The following is a 22,515-nucleotide window of genomic DNA, read 5'->3' as shown; positions in this document are numbered from 1 at the left end:
AACTAAAGGTAAAGAGAGAAATCCTCGGTAGAAGGTCTCACCCAGCAGGAGGTCTGCAAAGGAAGAGGCCCCTTGGGCTGAGAAAGCTGTTTAATGTGCAGTTGACAAAGGGCAGGGGAGGTCTCTGGAAATGTTTATGGGAATGCTCCAGAATTTAATCTGACACCACCAGTCCTGTGAGCTTTGTGCTCTGGGCTCCTAATTAGCAAAATAGAGACACGGGGATTGTGTTTGTCTCACTTGAAATGATTCAGTGTTTATCTTGGCTTGATTGGTCCCAAAGTACTCATTTCACAAAGACCTGTGATGCCTCGTGGGAAGACTTGCACTGCTATTTCCTCAAATTCATGTTCCTTTTCACTTGCCCTTCAATGCCAAAATTGAGAACCATAAAAGACTACTCCTTTTGGCCATCTGGCTTTCTGCTGGCATTAACATTCAATAAAACAGACAGACCCAAACCTTTCCTTTCCCATATAGGGTGAATATTAAAGTGTTTTATGAGCAACTGATCAGGTTCTAGTTCAAGAGAGAAGGCTAGATGTATGGCACAGCAAGAAGGGCATGTATCTTGAGGGCACACTTACTGGCTGTGTGACTTTGGGTAAATTGCTTAACTTTTCTGAGCCTTAGTTTCTTGGGGATGATAATAATACCTACTTATTTGTCCACTGTGAACACTTCATCTATAAAATAGGACTTGCCTGCTCTTTACCTCAAAAAAGAAAATCTAAAAAGAAAATCAAAAAAGAAAATCTATGTGTAGATGTGTTGTAAGCAGTGAAATGCTACATGTAGAAGCAAAACAGGTCATTATATTTTCATCAGATTTGAGTCATTCACTCTTCTATGTTCCAAACATTTTAAAATGCTTTTTTAAAGTCAGAAAACAACATGAATGAGAAGTTACCTGTGGGTCCCCAAACCTCCATTTTGAGGGGACTGGAAAATAAAGCAGCAAGGTTAAGAAAGCTTTCAGAATTCATCACAATGAGAACAGAGTCAAAACTGGAGAAAAAAAATGTCTTACACATTCTTCCAGACAAAAGGGCATTTCAAGTATTGTCTTCAAAATTCAGTTTGGAAAGTTATTAGCTTATAAAAGTGAGTTGTATGTACTTGACAATGCTGTGGAAACTCAGACACCCAGAGGTCCTCAGTCATGGAAGAATCAGCTGTAAATGATTTGTTTTGAAATAATTATCTTAATTCTTGACTACAATAGAATGTTAAAATGGAAGTTTCCACTAGGTAACAAGCTGCAATAGATGTGATATTCCAAAGTGAGCCTCTGGGCTGCCATACGCAGAATGAAGAAGTAGTGTCCTGACTTCTGAACTCCCTACCCTAGAGGGGGGTGAGGCCTGTGTGTGGGATGGGGTGGGGTACCACGGAACCAGGGGTCAAGCAGGCATGGCCTTGAGGGTGGATGCATTCTCAGTGATGGGACTCTAAAAACCCACAAAACTTTCCACAAAAGAAAAAGTGGTTTGTGATCAAGCCATCAATAAGAAACTCAGAAACTTCTCTGATTCCGTTTCCCCAGTTTTGCCCACTCAGGTGAGTAAGCAGGGATGAGGGAGTGGGCTAACTTTGAAAGTTCCCTTCCCTCCTGCGGATATTCCCCAACAGCAGCCCTAAACCCCTGGGAGTTTTGGGTTTCACACTGGATCAGGTATTCTAATGGCTGAGTAAAGACCTGCTGGGACCATGAAACAATTACTCCCTGAGGACCTGAGAATGAACGAAGTCATGGGGCTGCCCAGGTTTTCTGGCAGTACCACCTCCCTAGAGATCATTCAGAAATATGTTGGAGTGTGTTTTGATTGACACAATGATTGGCAGGGAGGATACTCTTGGCATTTAGAGGACAAGGGCCTGAGATGCTCGATATCCCAGTAACCCAAGAACTCTCCTGCTTGAAATATTAACAGTGCTCCCAGTTGAGGCCTACACTCATGGAGGCAGGGGCAGGATCACCCCTTCCCTGAACAAGTTTTAAAAAGACAGTGGAACCTATGCCAGGCAGGGAAACCAGAACTGTAATTGATGACCTGCTGGAGGCTCAGTGTGAACAAGTCTGAGAAGAAAACTCCAGAGGGACCCAGTTACTTTTGTGAATTTTACCTGCTGGAGGTCAACCAGGTTCTCAGAGTAAATATCTGAGAAAAATAATAATAATAAAAAAAAAGACAGTGGGAGACAAAAATAGAAATACATTTTCATTATGTTGCCCTTTATGCTTATTCACCATATCTATTACGCTGAGGCTACAAGTATTTTGCAGTGACTTGAGAGCTCTTTCCCACAGCTGCTTAATTACATTCCAGCTGCTTGGATGCATTAGAGCCAGAAGCAGGCCATGAAGTGGGTGAAGGACCTAGCAGAAGGTGCTATGGTGTGCTGCGGTAGCCTGAACCCCTAAAAGCCCTAGCCCAGGTTAAACTTGCTCTGGTGACTGAAGACCAGGATCAGCCCCAGGTTTGAGAAAACCTGGCTGGTCTTGGTGTGGTAGCCTGAACAATGTCTACGTTCTTAGCCCTGAAATCTGTGACTATGTTACCTTCCATGGCAAAAGAGACTTTGCTAACATGATTAAATTAAGATGTTGACATGGCAAGATTATACAGATTGTCCAGTAGGCCTGCTTTATTCACGGGTGTCCTTTGAAGAGGGACAAGGGGATCAAAGTCAGAAGAAGGACACATGATAACAGAAGCAGGAGTTGGAGTGATGCTTGTTGGAAATGGGGGCATGAGGCCAGGGCGGCAGCTCACGCCTGTCATCCCTGCACTTTGGGAGGCTGAGGCGGGCAGATCACCTGAGGTCAGGAGCTTGAGACCAGCCTGGCCAACATGGTGAAACCCCATCTCTACTAAAAATACAAAAATTAGCTGGGCATGGGGATGTGCACCTGTAATCCCAGCTACTCAGGAGGATGAGGTGGGAGAATTGCTTGAACTTGGGAGGTGGAGGTTGCAGTGAGCCAAGATTGCACCACTGCACTCCAGCCTGGGAGACAGAGCAAGACTCTGTCTCAAAAAAAAAAAAAAAAAAAAAAAAGAAAGAAAGAAAAGAAAATGGGGCATGCATGTGGCACTAGAAGCTGGAAAAGGCAGGAAGATAGATCCTCTTCTAGAGCCTCCAGAAAGGAACACAGACCTGCCAACACCTTGATTTTAGCCTGCAAGACCCATTTTGGGCATCTGATCTCCAGAACTGTAAGATATCCAATATGTGTGTTTTTAAAAGCCATTATATTTGTGGCAATTGGTTACAGCAACAATAGGAAAATAATTTACCTGGTTTAAAGTGTAATATAAACCTTTCTACTCAAGAGAACTTAGCAGTTCTCTCAAGTTCACCCGAAGAACCCCCAAATCCCAACACAACCCTCTCTCCCCTCTCTGAAGATTCCAAGGAGAAAGGAAAGCAGTCCTGGCAAAATCCTCCTCCGGACCCGGTAAACAACCTGCAACCATGGCACATTGCTGTGTGATATAAACGTGTGTGTGTGTGTGTGTGTGTGTGTGTGTGTGTGTGTGTGTATGAGAAGCCAAAAGAAATAAAAAGGATTTCTATATTATCTGCGGTTTTCTTCACTAACCTTTCCCTTTCTAGCTACATAGATAATTGAGGACTCACTCCATTCTATCAAGGACCGCCACTGCTTGCTTTCAAGGGCTTCCCTCACCCCACAGATTTCTAGATTAGATCCAATGCAGTCTCTGATCATGCTGAAGCCTTGATTAGCAAAGTAGAAGAAAAATTAGAGAAAATTAAGTGGGCATTGTTGGAAAAACAAATAAATCCTCCTTCATTGGCAGACTTGAGCATTTACTAGAGCAATAACTATAGCACCATTTTCAACACTTTCTGCTGATGGGTGTGGAAACACTTTCTATCACAACCGACTTGACTTTTCCCTCTTTCTTCAGACCATAGATAAATATTTAGTTACAAACTTCCAAACAGAATAAAACCAGACTTTTAGTTTATTTGACAGGAAAGCTTAGTATGGGATACTTAAATCATTAAGGAGAAAAGACAGCTTAACTCACTGTAAAGCTAAAGATTAACTAGGAACCAACATGAATTCTCTTATAGGCTGTTTTCTACTCCCCTTGGTAGGAAAAAAATGTTAATTCACTCAGTATTAGATATCATGAGCCAAGTCTGGATTCCTTGGGAAGGTTTGTTTTCTCTCAGGAATACTTAGTTTGGCCCAGGGAAAATGAAAACAAGTTTAAAAAAAATCTTTCCTGGTTAGTCATTTTCTCTGGAGACTTAAAAGAAAAAAGACACTGATGTTGAGTAGAAAGCTTTCTCTGCAAGCTTTTACTGCAATGTCAAATAAAAAATGCACAGAATTGGCTCCCCTGGCAGCTTGTGCCTACTTTCAACTTTTTTTTTTTTTTTTTTGAGACGGAGTCTCTCTCTGTCACCCAGGCTGGAGTGCAGTGGTGTGATCTCGGCTCACTGCAACCTCCACCTCCTGGGTTCAAGTGATTCTCCTGCCTCAGCTTCCCGAGTAGCTGGGACTATAAGCATTTGCCACCATACCTGACTAATTTTTTAATATTTTTAGTAGGGAAGGGGTTTCACCACATCAGCCAGGCTGGTCTTGAACTTCTGACTTCAGGTGATCCACCCATCTTGACGTCCCAAACTGCTGGGATTACAGGTGTGAACCACCGTGAATGGCCCCTTCAACTTCATGTCTAAAACACCAAAAGCAATGACAACAAAAGCCAAAATCGACAAATGGGATCTAATTAAAATAAAGAGCTTCTGCACAGCAAAAGAAACTATCATCAGAGTGAACAGGCAACCTACAGAATGGGAGAAAATTTTTGCAATCTAGCCATCTGACAAGGGCTAATATCCAGAATCTACAAAGAACTTAAACAGTGGCCAGGCACGGTGGCTCACGCCTGTAATCCCAGCACTTTGGGAGGCCAAGGCAGGTGGATCACGAGGTCAGGAGATCCAGACCATCCTGGCTAACATGGTGAAATCCTGTCTCTACTAAAAATACAAAAAAATTAGCCAGGATTGGTGGTGGGCGCCTGTAGTCCCAGCTAATTGGGAGGCTGAGGCAGGAGAATGGTGTGAACCGGGCAGGTGGAGGTTGCAGTGAGCCAAGATTGCTCCACTGTGCTCCAATCTGGGTGACACAGCAAGACTCTGTCTCAAAAAAAAAAAAAACAGAACTTAAATAAATTTACAAGAAATAAAAAATCAACCCCATCAAAAAGTGGGTGAAGGATATGAACAGACACTTCTCAAAAGAAGACATTTATGCAGTCAACAAACATGAAAAAAAAGCTCATCATCAGTGGTCATTAGAGAAATGCAAATCAAAACCACAATGAGATATGATCTCATGCCAGTTAGAATGGTGATCATTAAAAAGTCAGGAAACAACAGGTGCTGGAGAGGATGTGGAGAAATAGGAACGCTTTTACACTGTTGGTGGGAGTGTAAATTAGATCAACCACTGTGGAAGACAGTGTGGTGATTCCTCAAGGACCTAGAACTAGAAATACCATTTGACCCAGCAATCCCATTACTGGGTATATACCCAAAGGATTATAAATCATTCTATTATAAAGACACATGCACACATATGTTTATTGTGGGCTATTCACAATAGCAAAATCTTGGAACCAACCTAAATGTCCATCAATGATAGACTGGATAAAGAAAATGTGGCACATATATACCATGGAATACTATGCAGCCATAAAAAAGATGAGTTCATGTCCTTTGCAGGGACATGGATGAAGCTGGAAACCATCATTCCCAGCAAACTAACACAGGAACAGAAAACCAAACACCACATGTTCCCACTCATAAGTGGGAGTTGAACAATGAGAACACATGGACACAGGGAGGTGAACATCACACATTGGGGCCTGTTGGGGGGTGGGGGGCTAGGGGAGGGATAGCATTAGGATAAATACCTAATATGGGTGACGGGTTGATGGGTGCAGCAAACCTCCATGGCACGTGTATACCTATGTAACAAAACTGCATGTTCTCCACATATATCCCAGAACTTAAAGTATAACAAAAAAATTTTTTTTTCTAAAGATAACTTGTTGCCTTTTGTTAGCTGGAAAATGGGAAAGGAGAAATTTATATGTGTGTTTAACAGGAAACAGTAGAGCACAGAGTTAATATCACACATGTGAATCCCAATTTTGCTAAAATCTGACCAATGTGAGGAAAATAACTAATGTGTCATGCCTTAGCACACTTTACAGAGTTTTATCAAGTTAGGAAGTGTTATGTTAGTCCCTCATATAAACTTACTACTTCATGTAACATGACTATGGGCTACATTGGATGAAGGTCCAATAGTAGAAGGTCCAAGGTTAGGCTCAGTAAACTGAACACATCCAGTATCTGTTCAGCACTGGAAAGTTCTCTGGCTTTCACTGAAGACTTTGGCACCCGGCTCATGGTTCTATTTTCCATCCTATGACTTGCTTCATCCTTGATGACCTTTTCAACAACTTTGTCCCCTTTTCTTGCTCCACATAGCTACCCACCTCCATGGCCATAGCCCAGAGCCTGTCCTCAGAGAGGCTCTGGCCACACCCTGTTTTACATCCTCCCAGTGGCCCTGAGGGCTCTTGGAGCCCATGGAGACCTCCAATACTTTGTTACTGGCAGAATGTATCCATATCCATACGGGGCTACAGCAACCTCAATTCTTGCCTCCTCAGAAGAAAGAATGGGACTGAGGGGCATAAGGTAGAGGGAGAGACCAAAGCAAGTTTCAGAGCAGGAGTGAAAGTTCATTAAAACGATTTAGAGAAGGTTGACATTTAGAGAAGTCCAAATAAGAAGTTGGACTTATACTTTTGGAATTACCTCTAGAGACAAGGGGTCCAAAATTTTTTCAGCACCTAGGGCATTGACATTTTGTCAGCACCAAGACAGCTTGACATTTTGACTTGGGGTTTTATATGTTGGCATACTTCCAGTGTCTTGTGTTACTTCTCACCACTCGCCCAACTCCTGAGATCTTATTGGGAAGCTGCTGATCACCAGTTTCAGGTATTTTCTATCTATTAGGAGACGGCCTTTCCCTGGTGCCCGGTGTGACCAATTATTACTTTAGCGAGAGAGTTAACAAGAGCCTGACCATCACCTGATGGTCACCCAACACTCCTGGTGTGTGTGTCGGGGGGCTCTCTCCTGCCCTGCTCATACCTGACTAGCTACCTACTGTAACCGGTTGACCCCTCCTTTTATTTCCCATCCCTGATAAGAGTACCTCATCCAGATGAGAGTATATAGTTACTCACTTGAAAATCAGGAAGGCTGGGTGCTCACCTGTAATCCACAGGTGGATTACCTGGTGGCTCACACCTGTAATCCAGACACTTTGGGAGGCTGAGGCAGGAGGATCTCTTGAGGCCAGGAGCCAGGACCTCAAGATCAGCTCGGACAACATAGGGACACCCCATCTCTGCCAAAAAAATAAATAAATAAATAATAAATTAGCTAGTCATGGTGGCGTGCACCTGTAGTCCTAGCTACACAAGAAGGCTGAAGTGGGAGGACTGTTTGAGCCCAAGAGTTGGAAGTTGCAGTAAACTATGATCATGCCATTGCACTCCAGCCTGGGCAACAGAGTGAGACCCTGTCTCTAAAAACTCAAAAAAAATCAGGGCTAGACTAGATGCCCTAGGTGCTGAAAAATTTTGGACCCCTTGTCTCTAGAGGTAATTCCAAAAGTATAAGTCCAATTTCTTATTTGGTTCTCAAGGTGACTAGTTTAGTGTTCTTCAGAGGCAGGGTAGGGAGGAGTGGGGAGAATACTGTGTTCTTAATTTTTTTTTTTCAATTTTGAGTTCCCCCTCGTTGGTACCCCAAGTGTGGGTTTAGTCTGTTCACTGGGTAATTGGAAGCATTATTTTACAAATATCCACATCCCTGCTGCACACTTGTTTCCCACAGCACAGCCAGGCAAACCAAGTTCGGTCATGCCCTATCTTAGCATGCCTCAGAATCACCTGAAATGCTTGTTTCTATTGCTTGTTCCAAATGTGGTAGGATTGCAGCCCACCTCAGCTTGCACCTGCCACACACACACTTCCCTAAGTTTGCCACCAACCAGACAGTCCACCCTAAAGCCCTCAGCCACAAGGTCCTCTCATCCCTCACCACGGTGACCCTTGGCTTGCAGGCTAGCCCTCTCACCTCCTCTTCTCCACCTCCTCCAAGGCCTGAAATTCAGTACCCTCTCGGCCTCTTGAGACAGAGAGGCTTATGAAAGGAGAGGCTAGCTCGGGCCCTCTCTCTGTCTAGACCTGTCCTGCTCAGATTGCTACTCTAGTGCAGCTGCCCATGGCTGGCAAGGAGTGTGGAGGAGATGGCTTCCTCCCAGGGATTCAAGAGGGAAGCAGATCATAAGCCCCTCCCCTCCCTGCATGCCTTCAGACCTAGCTAAGGGATTTAGGAGTCATTCTCCTATCTTTTAAAATTTTTTTGTAGAGACAGGTTCTCACTGTGTTCTCCAGGCTGGTCTTGGACACCTGGCCTCAAGTGATGGTCCTCCTTCCTCCACCTCCTGAAGTGCTGAGATTACAGGTGTGAGCCACTGAGCCCAGCCTCACTCTCCTGTGTAACACCCCTTCCTCCTCTCTGAGTGCCCCTTCCACCCAACTGGTCAAATTCTTCCCTTGATGGAAAATTGGGTCTATATTTTGCAGAACTTGTTCTCCTAAGGGCTCTTAAAGAGCCAGGTTCCTGTTCTAGATATTTAAGAAGAAATTTTTAGAATGCAGGAAACTCTTTTTTCTCTTAAAAACTTGACTCTTGGCCGGGTTCACGCCTATAATCCCAGCACTTTGGGAGGCCGAGGCCCATGGATCACCTGAGGTCGGGAGTTGGAGACCCGCCGGACCAATATGGAGAAACTCCGCCTCTACTAAAAATACAAAATTAGCTGAGTGTGATGGGGCATGCCTGTAATCCCAGCTACTCGGGAGGCTGAGGCAGAAGGACCACTTGAACCTGGGAGGCGGAGATTGCAGTGAGCCGAGATCTCGCCATTGCACTCCATCCTGGGCAGCAAGAGTGAAACTCCATCTCACAACAAAAAAACAAACAAATGAATAAGCAAACCTGATTCTTGCCATTGAAAGCTTGAATTCAAACCTAATGTTTCTGCTATGTTCTTTTAAGAAAGGTCTATTTTGAACATCATAATTGATCAATGACTCTTTTCTTCTTCTTTTTTATATTATATAAAATTCTTTTTTAAAATAATAGGCTGGGTGCGGTGGCTCACACCTGTAATCCCAGCACTTTGGGAGGCCGAGGTGGGTGGATCACTTAAGGTCAGGAGTTTGAGACCAGCCTGACCAGCATGGTGAGACCCCCGTCTCTATTAAAAATACAAAAATTAGCTGGGCGTGGTGGTGTGCACCTGTAATCCCAGCTACTTGGGAGGTTCAGGTAGGAGAATTGATTGAACAGGAGGTGGATGTAGCAGAGAGCCAAGACTGCACCACTGCACTCCAGCCTGGGCAACACAGCAAGATTCCATCTCTAAATAAATAAATAAATAAATAAAATAAAATAATAGAGACAGGGTCTCACTATGTTGCCCAGGCTGGTCTTGAACTTCTGGGCTAAAGTGATCCTCTCACCTCAGCCTCCGAAAGTGCTAAGATTACAGGCGCGAGCCACCGTACCTGACCTCAATGACTTTTTTTGTTGTTCTGAACTGTATCTCACCCTCTGCCCCAAATAAGCATCAGTGGGTTAAAAGGTGTTGGACTGTAAAAAAAAATAGGGGAATAAAAAAGACCTAGGGTTCTATTAAAAAAGCATGCATACTACACTTTCCTTCCCACCCCTACTTGCAGCCATGGGCTCCCAAGTTTGGTTTGGCCTGGATAGTGTTTGAAACAACGTTTAACTAATTATCAATCTTTTCTTTTCTTTTCTTTTTTTTTTGAGACGGAGTCTAGCTCTCGCCCAGGCTGGAGTGCACAATGTTTTCAATTGGATAATTTCATCTACAAAGCTGTATTTCTGCCTTCTCTTGGATCATGGTGACACTGGGCTGTGGTGGAGGCACTAGGGCCCACCTTGATTAATCCTGCCCTCTTCAGTTTGCTGGAAACCCCTCCTGGCCGCCTCACACATTGGCCTCTGAGGACATTTCTTTCTTTCTTTTTTTTTTTTTTGAGATGGAGACTTGCTGTGTTGCCCAGGCTGGAGTCCTGTGGTGTGGTCTTGGCTCACTGCAACCTCCGCCTCCCGGTTCAAGCGATTCTCCTGCCTCAGCCTCCCGAGTAGCTGGGATTAAAGGTGCCCACCACCACGCCTGGCTAATTTTTTGTATTTTTTGTAGAGACAGTGTTTCACCATGTTGGCCAGGCTGGTCTCGAACCCTTGACCCTGTGATTCGCCCACCTTGGCCTCCCAAAGCACTGGGGTTACAGGCGTGAGCCACTGTGCCAGCCCCTCTAGGGCATTTCTAACCTTGACCTTAGGCAGGGTTTCTCACTTAGCCTCAAAAGCCTTTCTCTGTCTTTCCTCTTACAAACACTTTCAGACCTTTGCAGCTTCCTGAAAGTCCCTACTCCCCCAACACCCATTCCCCTACACTCTCACCAGATGACTAATTTTGTTGAGAAAATTGAGGCCAAAAGTACAGAATCTTCTATCTGCTGTCCAACCTACTAACTTTTCTATATCTGTACAGATCTTGCCTCACTCTCAGAGGATGGGATAGTCCTGCTTTTGGTCAAATCAATTTCTTCAGTTATGCTATTTTAAAAATATATTGTTTTTTATGATTATGAAAATGATATAGCCTCAGAACCCTAAAGCCAAAATTAAAAATAAGTCACTCCTCCACAAACCCACAATGGTATCACTGCCCAAAAGTAAATACTGTAAAATTACTGCTAAATATTTGGTAGCCATCCTCCAGGGCTACCCACACACACACACACACACACACATGCCACACACACACACACACACAACTAAGTATATATGTGTACACATAATTTTATTGTATTTTTCCATAACAGTGATTGTATATTTTTGTACAAGTTGTCTTTTTCTACTTAACAGTGATTGTGAATGCCTTTATGTATCAGTACATGTAAATCTACTGTCTTCTAGGGCTATTTAGTGTTGCATGCATTGAGTATGTCACACTTATTAAAACCTTTTTAAAAATTGCCAAAAAGCAGTATATACTTACTAAAAGTAATACATATTATATAGAAGTGTAAAATATGAAAGCTGCTTTTTTTCTTATACTCCCACTCCCATTCTCCAAGGGGTAACTATTACTAACAGCTTACTGGGAATCTCTACAAACATTTTTTAAAGTCTGGTTAATTGACGTGTAATTCACATACAGTAAAATTCACCATTTGTAGTGTACGGTTCTACGAATTTGTAAAAATACATATAGTTGTGCAACCAAAACCACAGTTGAGTTACGGAACATTTCCATAACAACAAGAAACTTTTTTTGTGTCCCTTTATAGTCACCTGCTCCCTGATTCCCAGCCCTGGCAACCATTGATCTATTTTCTGTTCCTATAGTTTCGCTTTTTCTAGAGGGCCATATGAATGGAATCATACAATGTGCAGCCTTTTCAGCCGAGTCTCACTCTGTCGCCCAGGCTGGAGTGCAGGGGCACGATCTCGGCTCACTGCAACCTCCATCTCCCAGGTTCAAGAGATTCTCCTGCCTCAGCCTCCTGAGTAGCTGGGATTACAGGTGTGTGCCACCAACACTCGGCTAATTTTTGTGTTTTTAGTAGAGACGGGGTTTCACCATGTTGGCCAGGCTGGTCTTGAACTCCTGACCTCAAGTTATCCACTCATCTCAGCCTCCCAAAGTGCTGGGATTACAGGCCTGAGCCACCATGGAGCCGTGGCTTTTTTCCCCTAGCATAATCCATTGGAGAGTCATCCATGTTGATATGTGTGTTATTAAATCCTTGTCTAGTACATAGAAATGGTTTTTGTTCCTGGAAATGGGATCATGCTATACCTGGAATGTAGCTATTTCTTTTCTTGTTTACTTAAATATTATAAATCCTTTTTTTTTTTTTTTTTTTTTTTCGAGACGGAGTCTTGCTCTGTCACCCAGGCTGGAGTGCAGTGGCGCGATCTCAGCTCACTGCAAGCTCCGCCACCCGGGTTCACGCCATTCTCCTGCCTCAGCCTCCCCAGCAGCCGGGACTACAGGCGCCCGCCACCACGCCCAGCTAATTTTTTGTATTTTCAGTAGAGACGGGGTTTCACTGTGTTAGCCAGGATGGTCTCAATCTCCTGACCTTGTGATCGCCTGCCTCGGCCTCCCAAAGTGCTGGGATTACAGGCCTGAGCCACCGCTCTTGGCCTATTTTTTTTTTTTTTTTTTGGAGTCAGAGTTTTGCGCTTGTTGCCCAGACTGGAGTGCAATGGCGCAATCTCGGATAACTGCAACCTCTGCCTCCCGGGTTCAAGCGACTCTCTTGCCTCAGCCTCCTGAGTGGTTGGGATTACAGGCATGCGCCACCACATCTGGCTAATTTTGTATTTTTAGTAGAGATGGGGTTTCTCCATGTTGGTCAGGCTGGTATGGAACTCCTGACCTCAGGTAAATCCATTTCTTTGTAACTTACTACATCTAGATCTAATTCTTTCTTTTTAATAGCTGCCCAGTATTCCATTACATACTTTCTATATAATGTATTTAACTGTTCTTCTCTTAATGAACAATCAGGTCATGTCCAATTTTTCACTGTTCCAGCATGTAAAAAAGTATGAACAGGTAAAATAAATACTGGTTCATAATTTCTTGTGAATGTATAGACAGATTCTTAGAAGTAGAATTGCTGACTGAAAAGGTACATTTAATATTGTGACTCTGGGTGATAGATACCCTAAAAGCCCTGATTTCACCACTACACAATCTCTGTAGGTAACAAAATTACACTTGTACCCCATAAATATTTTTATTTTTATACAAATAAAATGAATTTGATAAACACTTCCAAATTGCTCTCTACAAATGTTGTATATGTTTAGGCTCCATCAATCAGCATTGGACTGTTTTTTTCTCTATAGCCTTACCAACAACACATATTAATCTTTCTAATTTTTCTTAACCTTATTGACAAAGTGAAAGATCTCATTTACATAGCTTTCATTCTTAATGAGATTGATTATTAAAAAAAATATATATATATATTTGCTGTTCAAGTTTGTTATCTATGAAATGCCAGTTTCTAGCTTTTGCCCATATTTTCTATTAGGCTGTTATTTTAAAAAATGAATTTGGGCTGGCATGGTGGCTCACGCCTGTAATTCCAGCACTTTGGGAGGCCAAGGCTGGTGGATCCCTTGAGGTCAGGAGTTTGAGACCATCTTGGCCATCATGGTGAAACCCGATCTCTACTAAAAATACAAAAAATTAGTTGGGTGTGGTGGTGGGTGCCTGTAATCCCAGCTACTTGGGAGGCTGAGGCAGGAGAATCACTTGAACCTAGGAGGCAGAGGTTGCAGTGAGCCGAGATCATGCCACTGCACTCCAGCCTGGGGGATGGAGGGCGACTCTGTCTCCAAAAAAAAAAAAAAAAAGAATTTGAAGGAGTTTTTAAATATATTAGGTAGACTAGAACTGTTTTTTTTTCCAGACTTATTTGTGGAGTCTATAGAGGCTGTATACTTTTGTTATCAACTTTTATTATGTCTGGAAATCATATACTATGAGGGAGATCTTTCCACCGCAAGACTTTAAAGTGATTCTGTAATCCATAGCTTAACTAATCTTTTCTGATAGACATGTGAATTGTTTCAAATTTTCCCTTTTGCTGGTGATACTGCATTGAATACTCCTGTACGTACATCTATCTCTTTGCCTTTGAACAATTTTATACAATTTTTCCTCCTTATGTGAACATTTGTATAAGTTTAAAAAATTTTTTTTTCTTGGAAGACAAATTCTGAGAAACTGCATCAAAGGATAGGCATATTTTAAATTTCACTGATCTGCGCTTTTGAATTCCTACCCATCAGCTGCTTTTGGAAACTTGTTCTCTCAGTGAGTCTTTCCCGCATAAATCTTTAGCCTCTCCCAATCCATGGGCTCTTTCTTTTCAGCCTACCAACATGCTCCAAACTCACGTCTTCTTAGAAACAAAGCAGAACAACACAAAATCGCTTCCCTTGTTGAGTCCGCATTTCTTTCTAGTTGCCATCATGCCTCTTTTCTTTTCTTCTTAGCCAGCTTGTTGAAAAGGTTGTCTATCTGTCCCCATTACCATGACTGTTATTTGCTGCCATCTGATTTCTACCCCTTGCACTTCACTGACACCGCCATGGAAAAGACGCCCAGGGACCTCTAAGTGGTTTACTAAATGTCACCTGCCACTGTTCCCTGTAACTCTCCATTCTTCCCCTCCATGACACCAGTTCTTTCCTGGTGCTCTCCTTGGTCAGCCTTCCTTCTCCATCTTCTTTGGGTTCCTTCTTCCAATGCTCACTCATTAAAAAATTATTATTATTATTATTATTTGAGATGGTGTTTTGCTCTTGTCACCTAGGCTGGAGTACAATGGCACGATCTCAGCTCACTGCACCCTCCGCCTCCCAGGTCCAAGCAATTCTCCTGACTCAGCCTCCCGAGTAGCTGGGATTACAAGCATGCGCCACCAGGCCCAGCTAATTTGTTGTATTTTTATTTTTATTTATTTTATTTTATTTATTTATTTATTTATTTATTTTTTTGAGACGGAGTCTTGCTCTGTCACCGAGGCAGGAGTGCAGTAGCACAATCTTGGCTCACTGCAACCTCTGCCTCCCTGGTTCATGCCATTCTTCTGCCTCAGCCTCCCGAGTAGCTGGGACTACAGGCGCCCGCCACCATGCCCAGCTAATTTTTTCTATTTTTAGAAGAGACAGGGTTTCACCGTGTTAGCTAGGATGGTCTTGATCTCCTGACCACGCGATCTGCCCGCCTCGGCCTCCCAAAGTGCTGGGATTACAGGCATGAGCCACTGCACCCAGCCAATTTTTTGTATTTTTAGTAGAGACGGGTTTCACCATGTTGGCTAGGCTGGTCTTCAACTTCTGACCTCAAGTGATCCACTCACCTTGGCCTCCAAAGTGCTGGGATTACAGGCGTAAGCCACCGCGCCCAGTCAATTATTATTAGTTTTTGAGACAGGGTCTTGTTCTGTTTCCCTGACTGGAGGGTAGTGGCACGATCTTGGCTCACTGCAGCCTCAACCACTGGGGTTCAAGTGATCCTCCCACCTCAGCCTTCCAAGTAGCTGGGACTATAGGCACATGCCACCATGCCCATCTAATTTTGTTTATTTTCTTTGTAAAGATAGGGTATCACTGTGTTGCCCAGGCTGGTCTCAAACTCCTGGGCTCAAGCGATCCACCCACCTCGGCCTCCCAAAGTGCTGGGGTAACAGGCATGAGCCACCATGCCTAGTCCAATGCTCACTCTCTTAACTTTGGTGTTTCTAGTGTTCTGGTCTTGATCTCATGCTTTTCTCTCCATACACATTCACCTCATCGGTTGTATCTACTCTCACTAACTTTATGCTATCAACACATAGTAGGTTGAATAATGCTTCCAAAGATGTCCAGGTCCTAATCTCTGGAACCTGTGAATAATACCTTATCAAGCAAAATGTGCAATTGTGATCTTGAGATGGGAATATTATCCTGGATTATCTGTGCAATGTAATCACACGTGTCCTGATAGAAGGGAGGCAGAGGGAGGCATGACTACAGAAGAAGAAAGCTATGCGACAACAGAAGCAAGACGCTGCACTCCTGGCTTTGAAGATGGATTAAGGGCCAGAAACTGAGGAATGCAGGCAGTCTCTCGGAGCAGAGAAGGAAAAGGATTCTCTCCTAGAGCCTCCAGAAGGAACCAGCCCTGCTGACACCTTGACTTTAGCTTAGTGAGACTAATTTTAGACTTCTAACTTCCAGAATCATAACAGAGTAAATTTATGTTGTTTTAAGCTACTAAATTTATGGTAATTTGTTACAGTAGCCTCAGGAAACTAGTATAATGCTTGAATACGTATTTTTCATACCAGAACTCGCCTCTGATCATCAGATTCATAGCTGCATCTGCCTGCTACCCTCACATTCAACAGGACTCAAACAGACCCCATCATCCTCTCCCTCCTTCTGCTGTGTTTCCCTGATTCATTTAATGGCACCGTCGGCCGGGTGTGGTGGCTCATGCCTGTAATCCCAGCACATTGGGAGGCTGAGGCAGGCAGATCACCAGAGGTCAGGAGTTCGAGACCAGCCTGGTCAACATGGTGAAACCCCGCCTCTACTAAAAATACAAAAATTAGCTGGGCATGGTGGCACGCGCCTGTAATCCCAGCTGCTCGGGTGGCTGAGGCAGGAGAATCACTTGAACCTGGGAGGCAGAGATTGCAGTGAGCCGAGATCGCACCATTGCACTCCAGCCTGGGTGACAGAGCAAGACTCCATCTCAAATAAATAAATAAAGATATAAAATAATAAATAAATAAATAAATAAATAAATAAATGGCACCATCATTCCCTGAGTCACACGAGTCAGGACCAAGGATCCTCCTGGACTCCTCCCACTCACAGACCAGCAATCATCAAGCCCTGCAGTGTCTGCTGCCCAAACCTTTCTAATATACGCCTCCTTTTGGCCTCTATGGCTCTCCGCCTATAGATTTATCCCTTCCCGTATTCATCCTCCATATCAAAGCCAAGACAAGCCTTCTAAAAGGAAACCTGACCAAGGTCCTTTCTTTAACCACTGCTTAGATTCAAGTCCAAACTCCCTGGCAGGCCATACAAGGCTCTCCCTTTTGCAGCTGTGTCTCCTGCTGTGGACTCTAATGATGCTCAAACAGTTTGCTACTTTCCCACCTATAGTAGTTACCTTTGCGTGTTCATGAAACTTCATGACCTTTGCTTCTGCTGCTCCTGCCCTTCTTTTTCTGCTCAGCTTTTACTGGTCTTCATGACTTAGCTCATTTTCTCTAATGAGGCAGAGCTCAGCATTCTTCTTTTGTCCTCCTCTAGCAGCCTGTGCCTGCTTGTGTACCATAGCAGTTTCCACAGTAAAGAGACATTATTTGTGTTCACCTGAAGCCAGGAGCAATGTCTCATTCATCTATTAAAGCTCAGTGGTTTGCACAAGGCCCAGTAAATATCTGTCGAACTGAGCTGAATTGCATTGCAGATAGAAAAAAAAATGATTTCACTTAGTCAAAATATTTCAAAAATGTAGAAACTCTTCTTTTATAAACTTAATCTCCTCTGACAGTTCTGGGTTGCAGCCATGTATAACAAAGGGCAGGAATACAAAACAAAGATTGTCTGAAAATTCCCCGAGTGAAGCATTTAAAAAAGGAATCATGAAAATGTAAGTAAACTCTGTGGCCAGCCCATCTTCTCTGTGTTCTTTCAAGAAAAATATTTGAAGTTTCATTTTTCCTTGAAGTTCAAAACAAGTCGGAATATTTAAGAAAGTGTCTAGACATTCTGAACTTGACCTTTGACAATTGTAGGAGTTGACTTTTCTAGCCAGCTGTGAAGTGCAAATACAAAGCACAGTTCATTTAATCCAGAGCCAGGTATCAGGCTTGGGCACACTCTCTGTGTGAATAAATAGAAGCAGCAATCATGTTCACTTTTCTACAGGCAGGGATGACATCCTAAAAGGATGTCAGGCTGAAGAGACTACAGCATATACTGCTAGGTGACCAAACCAAAGCACAGAATGGTGTGTACGGCATGCCTCCTTTTGTGTAAAAAGGAGGGAGGGGAATAATATATATTCATATTTGTTTGTATTTGCATAAGTAATCACTGGAAAGAGAAATCAGAAATGAATAAATATGGTTACCTGTAGAGTGTGAGAGGCAACGGAGTAGATGGGGATGGGAAGGAATGACAGTTCTCAGTACCTACCTTTTCATAGTGTTCAGAGTTTTCACTCGTCTAAGTGTATTTTCTATTTAAAATAACTATAAAAAAATAATGTCGGATGTAGGCCAGTACTATTCCCAGTGTGCCTTGTTACCATTTGAGAAGCATCAGTATATTCTTAGTTTTTGGCCTAGAGAGTCTTTTTTAATGTTTAGCACTTGATTTAGAAATGATGGTAAGTTTTATTTTATTTTTTTCCTTAAAAAAAAAATTTAGGTTGGGCACGGTGGCTCATGCCTGTAATCCCAGCACTTTGGGATGCTGAGGTGGGAGGATCACTTGAGTCCAGGAGTTCAAGTCTGCAGTGAGCTGTGTTCACGCCACTGCACTCCAGCCTGGGCAATAGAGCGAGATTCCATCTCAAAATAAACAAATAAATTAAATAAATAAATAAATAAATAAATAAATTTTAGATTTGGGGTACATGTGCAGGTTTGTTACATGGACATATTGCATGATGCTGAGGTTTGGGCTTCTGTTGGAAGCCCAAATAGTCCATTCTGTCACCCAAATAGTAAACATGATTTCAAAATTTTAAAAATATTACAAAAATAAACATAGCACAAAGATCTCTATGCCCTCTGGGTGCAATGGCTCACAACGGTAATCCCAGCACTTTGGGAGCCTAGACAGATGGATCACTTGGGCCCAGGAGCTCAAGACCAGCCTGGCCAGCATGGCAAGATCCCATTTCTATGAAAAAATATAAAAATTAACCTGATGTGGTGGTGCATACCAGTGTTCGCAGCTACTCCAGAGGCTGAGGTGAGAGGATTGCTTGAGCCTGGCAGGTCAAGGCTGCAGTGAGCCGCCACTGCATTCCAGCCTATCAATGAGAGTGAGACCCTGTCTTCAAAAAAAAAAAAAACGAAAAACATTTCTATGCCCTTAACCAGATTCCCTGTTATCAATATTTTATCCCACATGCGTTTCCTCTCGCTCTCTCTCTCTCTCTTTCTCTCTCATACTGTATCTGAACCATCTGAGGTTCTGGATCCTCTACCTCTAAATGTTTCAGAATGTATTTTCTAAAAATGTAACCATTGCACAGTTACCAACTTCATGAATTTATGGTGATGCAATACGAACAAGAGAGTTTTCTTGTAGAAACAAATGTTTCCCAAACATAAGATCAATCTTAACTTTTACATTGTACAAAATGGCCATTAGGCAATCTACTGTTATAGGTGAGGAAGTGAATTGGGTGTGTCACTGTGGAGCTCATCAAACACTCTTAATGGCATCCATTTATCAGTCTCTAGAGGGTTTTTTCATCTTCCTTTTGGTAAAATCAAGCCATTAATTTCTAAAAGTCTGCAGCTTCCCTGAAGTCCTAATGAAAATGTTGCACAGGCCATTATAGTTCTGTCATGAAGTTGGAAGAAGATTCCTCAACTACACCTTGTTTAAAAGTAATTAACAATATATAGGCTGGGTGCAGTGGCTCACGCCTGTAATCCCAGCACTTTGGGAGGCCAAGGCGGGTGGATCACTTGAGGTCAGGAGTTCGAGACCAGCCTGGCCAACATGGTGAAACCCCATCTCTACTAAAAATACAAAACTTAGCCAGGCATGGTGGCACACGCCTGTAGTCCCAGCTACTTGAGAGGCTGAGGCAGGAGAATCGCTTGAACCTGGGAGGTGGAGGTTGCAGTAAGCTGAGATTGTGCCACTGCACTCCAGCCTGGGTGACAGAGCAAGACTCTGTCTCAAAAAAAAAAAAAAAAAAAAAAATATATATATATATATGGAGCACCTTGTGTCAAATCCACTTGTTTCCTTCCAGCTGCAACCATGGTGAAAAGGCTGGACCTGCCTTTCATTCCTCACTCCCAGCTGAACTTGTTCCTGTTGGAGAAAGAGGAGAAATATGGAGGTGGAGGTAAGCATGGAAGGTCTAAGGAAGGAAAGGGGGCTGGCCTTGTCCCCCGTGGCTCTGGCAAAGACCCAGAGTCTTACACGGCTGCTTTAACTACTATGAGGTAGTATTTTGCGCCTCAAAACCAGTTTATTTTTATTTTTATTTTTGGAGATGGAGTCTTGCTCTGTTGCCCAGGCTGGAGTGCAGTGGTGTGTTCTTGGCTCATTGCAACCTCCATCTCCCAGGTTCAAGCAATTATCCTGCCTCAGCCTTCCAAGTAGCTGGGACTACAGGCACACGCCGCCACACCCGGCTAATTTTTTTTTGTATTTTAGTAGAGATGGGGTTTCACCGTGTTGCCCAGGCTGGTCTCAAACTCCTGAGCTCAGGCAATCCACCCTCCTTGGCCTCCCAAAGTGCTAGGATTACACCGCACCCAGCCCCCAAAACTAGTTTAAAAATATTTCAGAAACATTCTATGAATAGATTAATGCTAGATGATATGTTTTGGGTAAACGACATTGAAGAATGGTTCTGTCATTAATAGACACTGCTCTACAATCCTCATGAAGACTGGGATGGTGGTGAGGAGGTGACCTTTCCAAGTGTGACACACGTCAGCCCAGGCTGGGCCTCATGACCTGGTTTGGTGAAGGGTTCTTCCTTCCTATTCTCCTGTTTCTTCTGACCCCTCCTGCTCTCCCCAGATGCTAATCCACAGAACATACCCTTCCTGAGCTCAGCTACACTGCCAGAGGGATGTGCTGGGCTAAATTTAGCCAATACTTTGTGGACAGAAATAAGAATTTTTCTTTTAAAAAGTCTTTTTAATTGGCTATTGCTATATATACACAATACCTTGATGAACATCCTTATATTTGTATATATATATTTATTTACTTGTCCAATAATTTTTATAGAATAAATTTTTAGAAGTAGAGTTGCTGGGTTAAAAAGTATGGGTTTTTAAAATAACTTTTGATACACCCTGTCAAATTACCCTCCAGAAAGTTAATACGTACCAATCTACAATCCCACAAACAGTGTATGAGCATGTGGGGTTTTGTGTGGGAAGTCCAGGCTGTGACATCCAGCTGTCTGGTTTTGCACCCTGGCTCTGCCAGATACCAACTTCATTGTTTAGTAAATGATGCAGTCTCACTAAGCATTTCCTCATCCTTCCCATGGGAATAATAATAATACCCTTCTCTTGGGGCTGTCATGGAAGTAAATGAGATACTGTATGTGAAATGCTTATGTGAGGGCCAGGCACAGTAGTTCATGCCTGTAATACCAGCAATTTGGGAGGCTTAGACGGGAGGATCACTTGAGCCCAGGAATTCGAGACCAGCCTGGACAACATGGGGAGACCTTGTCTCTATAAAAAATTAAAAAATTAGCTGGGCATGATGGCTCACACCTGTAGTCCCCAGCTATTCTGGAGGCTGAGGTGGGAGGATCTCTTGAGCCCAGGAGGTGGAGGCTGCAGTGAGCTGTGATTGCGCCACTGCACCCCAACCTGGATGACAGAGTGAGACCCTGTCTCACACACACACAAAATGCTTACGCCCTGGATAGTCTAAGGCCCAAGGTGTAGCCAAGCCCCAGTATTGAGGGCCACAAGCCTGGGGATTGGACCACAGTTTGGGTTGGTGAAGAAGTTAGAATATAAAATTGGTGCCAACCTTTATTAGGTAATAATTTGTGTTTCATGACATGCAACAGATATTTCAAAATCAATGTTCTCTTCATAACTTTTTTTTTGTAACAGCTCTATTGGGATAATTGATGTATCATACAATTTCACTTATTTAAGTGTATAATTCAATGGTTTTTAGTATTTTCAGAGTTGTGCCACCATCAGTATAATCAATCTGAGAACATCTTCAGCATCCTTCAAAGAAACCCTATACTATTAATATTTAGGGTTAAAAATGCAACCTCCAACTCTTTCTGTCCCTGAGTCTTAGGCAACCACTTCCACTTACTACCTGTATAATTTTGCCTATTCTGGACATTTTATGTAAATGGAACAATATGTGGTCTTTTGTGACTGGCTTTTTTTCACTTAGCATAATGTTTTCAAGATTGATCCATGTTGTAGCATGAATCAGCACTTCATTCCTTTTTATTGTCAAGTAATATGCCAGGGTATAGAGATACCGCATCTTTTTTACCTGTTTGTCAGTTGATGGACATTTGAGTTGTTTTTAATTTTTGACTATTATGAATAAAGCTGCTGTGACATTTGTGTACAAGTTTTTGTGTGGATATGTGTTTTATTTCCTGGCTATATATCTAGGAGAGGAATTATTTGACCGTTTTGTTGGCTTTTTAAACACGTGAGTAGTGTTGCAATGAATATTTTGGCAAAAAAAAGTAATGGAGAGATTTCCAGTTAAAGGAGAAAGCATAAAGGTCCAGGGGCCTGGGTGTTGTATGCCTTAACTCCTCTGAATAATCCTTCAGCATTTGTAAAAGGGGTTGTTGTAAATATTAGAGATTAAATATAATGGACAGCCTCTGGCACACAGTAAATTCTCAGCAAATGATAGCTATTATTCTACACCCTCCAAACCGTGAAACAGAAATCCTCATGGGCCTAGCCTCTTCATCCATCCGTACCATCAATATTATCAGATTTCTCTGGTTCTTTTATT

The 22,515-nt window shown here is 42.9% G+C and overlaps 1 long non-coding RNA gene across 1 annotated transcript in view; it reads right to left on the bottom strand.

Moving 5' to 3' along the window:
• The window catches only part of LOC124907901 (uncharacterized), a 34,420-nt gene extending 16,250 nt beyond the window's left edge, over positions 1-18,170 (bottom strand). The window contains exons 1-2 of the long non-coding RNA XR_007087272.1: positions 16,943-18,170; positions 7,320-7,483 (exon numbers count right to left, since the gene is read on the bottom strand). This is a non-coding gene — a long non-coding RNA (uncharacterized LOC124907901). The remainder of the gene's footprint in view (positions 1-7,319; positions 7,484-16,942) is intronic.
• Positions 18,171-22,515: the final 4,345 nt, after the last annotated feature.

Source organism: Homo sapiens, chromosome 2 (genome assembly GCF_000001405.40).
Source record: "Homo sapiens chromosome 2, GRCh38.p14 Primary Assembly".
NCBI classification, from domain to species: domain Eukaryota; kingdom Metazoa; phylum Chordata; class Mammalia; order Primates; family Hominidae; genus Homo; species Homo sapiens.
This window is presented reverse-complemented; position numbering and strand designations above follow the sequence as displayed.